Genomic DNA, 11,043 nt, shown 5'->3' on the forward strand with positions numbered 1-11,043 from the left:
CAATGTGTAAACCTAAACATCATTTTAAAAGCCTTTTTGGTATTAGCAAAGGAAATCCATTCAGGCTACTTTGTATTTCATTTCTTTTGTTTTCTTGTTTTAAAATTCATATTTCCCCTTTATGATAGGTATCTGTCTATCCATCCATCCATCCATCTATACTAACATCTAGTTTTGGAGAGAGATTTCAGTAGTGAGAGAGAGAAAGATGTTGAGAAAGATATTTTGAGCATTCTGCCTAGGAGTTTCAGTCAATAGAAAAAGCAGTGTCCAGGAGATAGTACTGGACTGTTATTAGTTAGAATGCCTGAATTGTTCATAAGGAACCAGCACAAATTGTGGCTGAAGTGTACCCTGCATCTGGAGTCTGTTGGGGGAAGTGCTGGCACTGGGGAGGTATAGGTACAGATGGGACATCTTACCATCTGTGAGCTCTCCATGACAGGCAGGGGATCAGACAAGCCCTAAGTGAGCGGGTAGATAAATTAGAGGGAATTTGGATGAGGTTATTTCCTCCCTTATTGGCTCAAGACTCTCCCAAATCTCATTACTAGGATTCTTTTTGTTGGCTTATGGCCTTGTTACTGTCCCATAGCTGTCTTATCAGGTTTTTACACCTTAGTGTGAATTAGTTTATTGGCTTCTTTTCTTAGAACCAGGGAGAATGATGAGTAGATAATGAAGGAGAGGGCAAAAGGGAAAAAGGTAAGGAAAGTGAATGTTTGGGTGTACTACAGGTCAACTTCTTCTGGTGGAAACCCTTGCCCCGCAGGGCCTGCCAGCAGCAGCACTGCCTGTACTCTTCAGTTCTCCAAACAGAACCTTCTTTCCATTATTGAGATGTAACATCTGTTTTAAATTATGTCACTTGTACCAAGACAGTCAAGTGATTGGCACCTTCTTCAGAATAAGTGTGAAGGTAATGAGCCAGATGCTTCCAGGAGAGTATGTTATTACCTGCATGTAAGTTAGTCACAGGGTCGTGCATTCATTTTTTTAGGCCACCATTAAATGACTCCTATAGAGTACATTTTTATTTTTTATTTTATTTAAGTTTTTTTGAGATGGAGTCTTGCTCTGTCGCCCTGGTTGCAGTGCAGTGGCGTGACCTTGGCTCACTGCAACCTCTGCCTCCCAGTTCAAGTGATACCCCTGCCCCAGCCTCCCAAGTAACTGGGACTACAGGCACATGCCACCACACCCAGCTAATTGTGGTGTGTGTGTGTGTGTGTGTGTGTGTGTGTGTGTTTGAGACAATGTCTCTCTTTGTCACCCAGGCTGGAGTGCGATGACATGATCTCGACTCACTACAACCTCCGCCTCCCAGGTTCAAGTGATTCTTCTGCCTCAGCCTCCCTAGTAGCTGGGATTTCAGACGCCTGCCACCACACCTTGCTAATTTTTGTATGTTTAGTGAAGACAGGGCTTCACCATGTTGGTGAGTCTCGTCTCAAACTCCTGACCTCAAGCAATCCACCTGCCTCGGCCTCCCACAGTGCTGGGATTACAGGCGTAAGCCATCATGCCTGGCCCTAGAGAGTACATTTTAAATCACTCCTCTGTGGCTTGAAGTTATTGTATGTGTAAAGAATGGATTCTCTTGTCTCGATGTAATATCTTTCCTCCAAATAATAATAATTAAAAACACTTAACACTAGGGATTTGTGTATTGATTTACCAGCATCTTTTAATCAGGTTCCATAAAATCTTTATACAGTCTCCAGCAGGGAAATATATTATTAATTCCATTTTTCTAAAAGATAAGCCTCTGAAGTTAGGCCAAACCACTTACTATGATAAATTGCTAGACTTATTTTTGTCTTTTAGGTGAATCCCCTCAGCTATTGGATTATCCAAACTCTTCTTATCATTCAGGTCCCATTTAAGTAACATCTCATGTTTATATACCTATTTTTAATGAACATTGAGGGCTTTGTACTGTGTCGGCTTGGCTACACTGTAACTATGTTTCCCAGAATCTTCTTTTCTTTGTGGTTTCAGGTTAGCATTGGCCACAGGTTTTTGCCCAATATTTGAAAAGCCAAAGTGACCTTGTGCGTATATTATATTCTGAAGGTAGGTAGTAGGTCCCAGGCACTGTAGCAGCTCACACATGTGGTGGAATCTGCTGGCTCACCTAGTTGGTGTAGGGCAACTCCTAAACCTGAAGCTCCTCCAGCTCTTCATATCTCTTCCATCAGCCTCTCCAAGTGCTAAGGCAAGTGGGTGTGTCACCCAGGGCATCAGGACTGAGATGGTGGGAGACAGATAGAGGTCCCAGCTCATCCTTATGGTTTCTAGTTTGTTCTTATTTTCACTTTATATTCAGTTTTCCATCCTAGCTGTCTCTGTGGCTGAACTATAGTGAATTAACTATAGCGGACCAACTCTAGTCACAGTGACCATAGCCTGCATGGACTTCTTCATCAGCCTGCAAATACTGCTCCTACAATTGCATATGGTCTAACCTCTATAATAAATCCATTTTCTATATTATTTGTAGTAATATAGTGATGACTGTGTAACCCTGCATAATACCTAGAAATTTAGATTTATTTAACAAGCATGTGAAATGTAAGCTACATGAGGGTTTCCGAGAAGTTACGAAACCATTTCTGAATATAGATAATATTTCTTAAATACAAGATGCCAGGGGTAGAGATAGAGCAAGAGATTATAATGGTGCAATGTAAGAAGAAATAGGGTAGCAATATAGCAAACTTTTTTTACCATGTAATATCCTGTCCCCAGAATAGTGCTTGACACATAATAACTCCAAACTAAGTATTAATTGGGTTAGAGTCACAAGTTTGAGCTCTTTAACTATGAAGGGATAAGATAAGCAGTTCCCTATGTTTTGATTTTATCTTGCATTTCAGATGCCTGTGAGACTTCCAACTAGAGATTTGGGATTTGACAACTGGTTCTATGGGTCTGATATCAGTAGAAAAATCTGGATGGAATCTATGTAAATTTGGGGACTATTAATATATAATGGGCATGGATAAGAAGTCAGGAAGAGGTAAGAGGGGAGATGGGCTGAGGAAAGAAACTTGGAAAACAAAATTGAATATTATATCAAGTTCTTACTTTCTGGTAACTGAATTATAGAGCCACACCTTTGGCTTCATGGTCGATGAGGTACACATTTATACCTTGACATTAGGCTGGGCTACCTGACTGACTTTGGCTAATGAAATGTTAGTGGACTTGATATGAGCAGAGGCTTGAAATGTGCTTGAGGAGTTGGACTTCCCCTCTTCTGTTCTGGTGATCTGCCCATGAGAGAAACGTGCTCCCAGGGGCTGCTGTTCCTTCAGGCTGGGTCCAGAATCAAAACAGGTAGAGATTAGAGCCCAACTTGCAACCCAGAGTCAAGCCCAGCTGACGCACACTCTGATGCCGTGCCCACCCTGGTTTGGCTAAACTATAATTCACCTGCTGACTTGAAAATGTGGGAATAAATGCTTGAATAAATCCCTGAGTTTTGGGATTGTTAGACAGCATTATTGTAGCAATTGCTGACTAAAATACACAGCAAATATAAACTGAAGAAAAATAACTTATGAAGGTATCTGAGAAGAAAGGGCCAGACAGGTAAGGGAGAACTCAGGAGCAAGGAGTATTGTAGGTGCCAAGAAGAGAGGGTTTCAACAAGGAAGAAGTGGCAATCAGTTTCAAGTGCTTGAAAGGTCAAGAAAGTCAAGGACCATAATGGAATTCACTGGATTTGACAATGATGAGATTGATGAAATTTGTATCTGATTCCTACAAATTTCTCTGTGAAGTAGGAGATGCAATCTTCTGAGAGTGAGGAGGAAGAACAACAGGCCTGGAATAAAGTGGTAAAAGTTTGAAAATTCACTGAAGGGAAGGGGAGATAGAGACCATGTGATTTTCTCTAGCAATGACCATAACCTTGATAAAAGAAAAATCTAGGTGATGGATGTGGTGTTGGAGATTATTGGGATGTGTTAATAAAAAGGCAAACGTGTTCTTGTCAATCCCATCTATTATTGGCCCTTCTGAGTTCCTGAAGCACTAGAATCCATAATGTATACTTTTCAACTTTTTCATATGTTATATTCTTTCTGGCTTTATGTGCTAACAGTATTTTATCTCTCTTTCCCTCTCTCTGTTTATTCATTCACCCATTCATCTGTCTGTCCACCCACTCATCCATCCATTCTTTATGTCAGTCCCCCAAGGATATGAGGGAATTTATACATAATGCTATATTGAAATGTTAAATTAAAAATACAAAATTCAGAATCAAGGAAAATGTAGATAAGAACATATTAGTCACATAGTAAGTACCCAAAACAATTTTTGATTGATCGATCAGGTAGCAACCAGAAAAATATGGCTTATAGACCTCATTCTAGATCTAGATTTCCCGCTTCAGGCATCTACCACTGTAATTAAGTCATATTTTATGAAAAAAGAGGAATTTGAGAAAGCTAACATGAAATATAGGAATATTTAAACAATAAACTCTCAGTATGAAAAGTTAAAATAAATTCTCCTTTGTGTCTTAAATTACATAGGGAAGGAAAGCATTTTTATGTAATTTCCTCCATTCTTACCAGACCATGTGATCAGTCACTCTTGTCATACCTGCCCCTTAGGATAGATAAAACAAGTAGTGCTGTCAGTTGTTAGACTTCTGCATGGAAAATATATTAGTGTTTACCTTTTGGGGAGATGGGCAACAGACTGCAAAATACACAGTGAAATCTGTTTTTTTTTGTACAAACAAAAAACTTTTACCTACTTTAAAAGGAGAGCGCTTTCTTCATTGCATTTGCATAATTTTATAATGCATACCTAGAAAAATACAGAGTTATTTCCAGGAAAAGAAGTTTGGTTATCTTGGTTAATTAGTTCCTTTTCTAGCTCCTCTTCAATTGAAAGGAAAATGAAATTGGTATCATAAGCCCTATGTGATAATCATATTTCATAATTATGCTATTACTAGTACCTTAACAATGGATTTAAAAGGCTGGTTCATCTCCCTTTAAAGTTTAATATTCACATAAATTGAAAATCATTTAGCAAACATACCTATATGTCTCCTTGGGTTAGAAAGAGCTTTTTAAGAAAATAAAATATAAATCAGTCCAAGTATCTCAGTCTTCAGGACCACAATTTCCTCCAGTTCCTCTGGCAACACAATTAACTCCAGTCATTTCCCAGACCTTCCCTACAGGGCCATAGATGCTGTGATAATCTGGCAACAGGATGTTCTCCCAGACAAGTGACAAATCCCTATTGATAATATCCAAAGTTTTGATCATTGCACATATTCCCTTGACTTTTAAGGTAGCTTTTCCTTGCTCTTTCAATCAGCATCTGGATTGTAACCATTTCATAGAACTTAATCAATTTATTCATTCAATAAGTACACTTTTTTAGGACCTACTATGTGCCAGGCATTGCACAGGACCTGGGAATACAATGATGAACCAGATTGTGCATGTATTTATGGGACATTCTGTTTAGTGGTGAAGACAAACAGAATAATACAACGTAAGAACTCTCATTGTATTTCTTTTTCTTTGTTTCTCCCACTCAATGCATCTAAAACTGGGGCAGGGAAGTAGGAGTCTACGGACGTACTCTTTGAAGTCCGTATTTTCTATGGTAATTTAAAAAGCTTAAATTCACTTTGATGGTAATTAAATTTTTTCAAGTATATTCTTGGTCGTCTTGATAACTACTTTATAACTGAGTAATATCCTACCATTTCTGTGCCAAGTGTACGTTTATGTTTACTCAAAAAATCAGTTTTCATAAATAATCATTCACACTGAGAGATGTTTTTTCTATACTATGACCTCATTGATTGCATTATTGTAAAGCTGTTAATCCTAAGTTTTTGGTTTGTTATCTAGTATGTAAATTTTATATGTAAATTTGTTTTGGTTGCACAGTTGCATAAATACAGCAGAAATAATTAATCCAAGTTTTATGCTTTTATTTATATTTAGTAACATTATGATAAAAGCCATTTAAGTCAAAAGAGGGAGGGGTTTACACTTTTCTTGAAAATTATAGGATAATTTTCCTTTAAAAGAAGTTCTGCTTTACTTGTGTTTGAGATAGTTCTGGTTCCCTGTCAGTAATCTTTCAGAAAAGCTGTTTGAGAAAATCCCTTTTCTTCATTTCCTTTGTGTTGGTGAAAACTGTCATCTGACAGGTTATGATCTTCCTTATTCCACCCTCAGCTCCTGAAGTGAGGGGGCGTCCAGCTAAGTGTGTTAGCAGAGTGTAATTTAGAAATACCAAAGGGCTGAGAGTTTTTTTTTTTTAACCCCATTAAAAATTCTTTAAGTGAAAACATTTAAGCAAGGTTAAGCACAGTAACCCTCTGGGTTATTTGTGAGTCAGATTTTCAGTTTTAAATCGGGCTATGTGTACTCCTAGCATCCGATGAGCTATGGAGGATGTAAGAAGATGGAGGATATGACCATCACATTTTCATGGTGGTAAAAATTAGAAAATAAAAACAAATGCTATCTATGGGGTAAAATGCAATTTGCATGCATGTTTAAGTGAAAACTTCAAAGGAATTCCAAGTTTGAAGTCAGACACTGCTTTGGAATATGCTAGCAAACATTCCAGGGTCTGGCAATCTCTCTTCTCTGTCTTAAAGGGCTACTTTGGCAGAAACGTTTGGAAAGCGTTGTGCAGGAGAAATGCTACTCAGGGCAGGAAACCTGAAGTTGTCCCCTTCCTACCAGATCCTGAGTGTTTGCCTGGAAGATTGTGAAGATTTTCTTTTGCAAGATTTCTGGTGGTAGCATTATCAAATCTTGGGTTTTTTTCTGGCTCTCCTTACCACCCTGTCATGATAGTGGTTGCACTTTTTGTTCAATCGACAGCAGAGTGCATATTGCATATAAGGAGTTGAAGACATTTGCAATAACATCTCCCTCTGAGATCTTATATCTACAGATTGGAAACCACTGAAGTAGTTGACGGTCTCTTCATCTGACCATCTCATGCTCATCACGTCCTGGTCTCTGCCAACCAGTGTATCAAGTTTACTCATTCATTCAACAAAATTACAAGCTTCCTGAAGTGCAAGGAGCTGTCTACATGTAATTGGAAGCTCTAAACTTGCATTCCCACATCTCTCTCTTCTCCATTAAATATGCTGTCTCCTTGCATTTGGTTTAAATGCATTATCTATTTAATGTTGGCTCATTAGCCTTAATGTCTGTTTTAGTCAGGCTGAATCAATTAAAACACTAGTTAAGTTGGATCAGATCTCCAGTTTACCCCTCCAGTTTGGTGACTGAAGAAGCAGCAGGCCAAATAGCCAAATTTGGATCCAGAGACATCAGTCCATTTATCTCCTCAGTCATTTTAAAGCTTCGTATGAAACTGTCTGCCAACATTTTGAGTCTATCCCTTTGCTTGGTATAGTCTCTGTCTTTGAATAGTGATTCTTAAAGCAGGTGGCGGTGGTATGTGGATGTGTGTTTGTATATTTTGAAAAGCATATGGTAAAATTATTGTCTGACTTATTTCTAATCTCAATATTTAATTTTTTCACATAACAGCAAAGGGAGGCATATGACTTTTTTGTTTATAAAAGAAGGCATGGATTTTAAAGAAATTTTAAGGTCATATTGCAAAATACAACCTTAGATTTTAGAGAGAGTGAAATCTTGCCTGTGTTCCAGATGTCACCTAACACTGTTACATAGTGAAAACATGCTATTTTTAATGCTCCGTTCCTGATAATTTAGTAATTGCTTCTTATTAGTTTAGATTTCCAGCAGTCTCTATATCTTGAGAACAGGAAGTAAAATCAAAACAAACAGAAGGCTTTAGTGACTTTGAAATATATGTTCTAAAGCTAGTAAGCCACACTATACTCTGCACATGCTCATTCAGACCCATTAACTCTCATATTATACAAAATTCAAACAACCTGGTGAGACAGAGTCTGTTGTTGTCTATCCTATGATTCTCAGACTTTATGTCTGGGGTGGGGCTTGGTAATTTGCATGTCTCACAAGTTCTCAGATAATGCTGGTCTGGGAATCACACTTTAAGAACAACTGGCCAGCCTGGTACGGTGGCTCACGCTTGTAATCCCAGCACTTTGGGAGGCCGAGGTGGGCAGATCACCTGAGGCCAGGAGTTTGAGACCAGCCTGGCCAACATGGTGAAACCCCGTCTCTACTAAAATTACAAAAAATTAGCCGGGCGAGGTGGCGGGCGCCCGTAGTCCCAGCTACTCGGGAGGCTGAGGCAGGAGAATGGCGTGAACCCGGGAGGCGGAGCCTGCAGTGAGCCGAGATCGCGCCACTGCACTCCAACCTGGGCGATAGCGAGACTCGTCTCAAAAAAAAAAAAAAAAAAAATCAGCTGAGCATGGTGGTAGTGCCTGTAATCCCAGCTACTTGGGAGGCTGAGGCAGGAGAGTTGCTTGAACCCGGGAGGCGGAGGTTGAGTGAGCTGAGATCGCGCAACTGTACTCCAGCCTGGGCAGCAATAGTGAAGCAAAACAAACAAACAAAAAACAACTGGCCTATCCCGATATCCATTTTCCCCTTCCCCTTAGAAATAAAAGTCAAATTTTATTTAGGGTGGCAATGCATCCATTAGGGTGACATTCTATTTCCCAGCTTTCATTTTAGCAGTGGGGTCATGTGGCTCAGTTATGGCCCATAAGATGAAATAGAAATGTTGGTAGTACCTTTAGGACAATAGTATATATAAAAAAAGAGTATGCTTTGGTTATTCTTCCCTTCCCTGTTTCTACAGCTTAGAACATGGTTGCAATGGTTAGAGCTCCAGTAGCCTTCTTAGATTGTGAAAAAGTCACATATGGCAGAGCAAACTCATAGGGTCTCAAATAGCCTTGTGGAGTCTTCCTGCCTGGTTTGCTTACCTCTGCACTTCCTCTACATAGGCGAATACACCTTTTGTGTTTAAGCTACTACAGTTGAGTTTCTGTTACAGCTGAACTTAACCCTAACTGATACACTTTGTCAGTTTGATTTTTCAGCAGCTTCAAAGGACCAAATTGGAAGCAGGAAGGGCTGCTTCTGGTTGCAAGTGAGAAAAAAGAAAAATTATTACAGACCAGAAAATCAATTAATGGTGAGGTGGCTGACTTCAAACCAGTGAGAAGGTAGGAAAAGGTGTAGAATATTCATTCTTTTTTTTAATTGAACATAGTTGAAGTTGACAAGGCAAACTTCAGGTGCTTTTTTTTTTTTGGAGACAGAGTCTCGTTTCTGTCACCCAGGCTGGAGTGCTGTGGTACGATCTCAGCTCATTGCAACCTTCACCTTCCAGGTTCAAGCGATTCTCCTGCCTCAGCCTCCCGAGTAGCTGGGATTACTAGCATCATCATGCCTGACTAATTTTTGTATTTTTAGTAGAGACTAGTTTTGGCCACCAGGCCAGTCTCCAACCCCTGACCTCAAGTGATCCACCTACCTCTGCCTCCCAAAGTGCTGGTATTATAGGCGTTGAGCCACCATGCCCGGCCCAGGTGCTTTCATTTTTTTTTTTAAATGAGGATAAAATTATTTTTTTTAACTTTTATTTTAGGTTTGGGGGCACACGTGAAAGTTTGTTACATAGGCAAACATGTGTCATGGGAATTTGTTGTACGGATTATTTCATCACCCGGGCATTAAGCCCAGTATATAATAGTTATCTTTTCTGCTTCTCTCCCTCCTCTCACGGCTCAAGTGGACCTCAGCCTCTGCTGTTTTCTTCTTTGTGTTCATAAGTTCTTATCATTTAGCTCCCACTTATAAGTGATAACATGCGGTATTTGGTTTTCTGTTCAACTTCAGGTGCTTTTTGACTTGACACGTTAGACTCTTCATTCTCGCCTTTGTCGTCAGCATTTATGGAGCTAGGCACTGTGTGAGTGAGGACAAGCATAGTGTACCTCTGCACTCAAGGCGTTCACAACAGAGCCCAGGACGGTGAGAAATTGGCCTATGTGAGGACTTAGGGGTGTGTGTTGCAGTTATTTTGTGTAAGTGGGTAGTTGGAAGGGTTCTTTAGGAGAACGCTCCTATGGTTATTTACAGTTGTGGAAATTGTCCTAGGCCAAGTACAGACACAATGGCTGAGTGTAAAACCGAATACTCCAAGCTCCTGGTTTAGTTATCTAACAAATGACACTGCCTAGCTTGTCCTAAATCTCTTTCAATAACTGAAATTTATTTCCCTCTTGACTACCTTCTGACAAAGGGGCTCCTGTTCTCTTCCATTCTGTCATTCCCAGAAATACCAGTGCAAGAAAGCTTCATCAGGAACTAGGGTCACAGTGTCAGACAAAGCTTATTGTCTGGGTAGGTGATTTTATTCCAGGAAAAGAGCTCCTAAAGTAATACCAAAATACCAATAAATGTAGCTAGACTGACTCATTTTCAAGCCTTTTACGGTTCTATTTTGTAAACCCAACGTAGAGAATAATTAATTTCCAAAATCTACAGGACACCTTACTACCAATTTTTGTGGGGAGAGATAATGACTTGAATGGAACATAAGCAGAGAGTTGATTTTAAGTAAGGAAATGGGGTCAGAGAGAGGTTAAGTGGCTGGCCTGGGGTCAGATAGCAAGCTGGTGACTCAACTTTGCAGCTCCTGGATCTGAGGACTGCAAAGAAAACCAGAGCTCATTTCCTCTAGATAAGTTAACTGCCCCATATCTGTGGTCTGCCATAAGCTTTTAAGAGCCACATTCCTTTTGTGACTATAGACCTGAGTTCCTATGGCTTTCACTGGAGAATGGAAAACACTTTCAAGGTCAGACTGTGTTACATAGAGGGCAGAATAGCACTTATTTACCACCAAAAATCATCATGCAATTTGTAGGAACTGCCGTCTTTTGCATGCCTTCTGGTCTGCATGCAGCATATGCATAATAACCAGCTTGTACAATAGATGGAGTGTCTTGGAAACGATCACCTGCATTTATGAAGTGCTTACTATGTGTCAGGCATCTTCCAAGTGTTTTACATGGATGATCTCATTTAATCCTCATGATAACCTTGTGAG

Source organism: Homo sapiens, chromosome 12 (assembly GCF_000001405.40).
Source record: "Homo sapiens chromosome 12, GRCh38.p14 Primary Assembly".
NCBI lineage: Eukaryota > Metazoa > Chordata > Mammalia > Primates > Hominidae > Homo > Homo sapiens.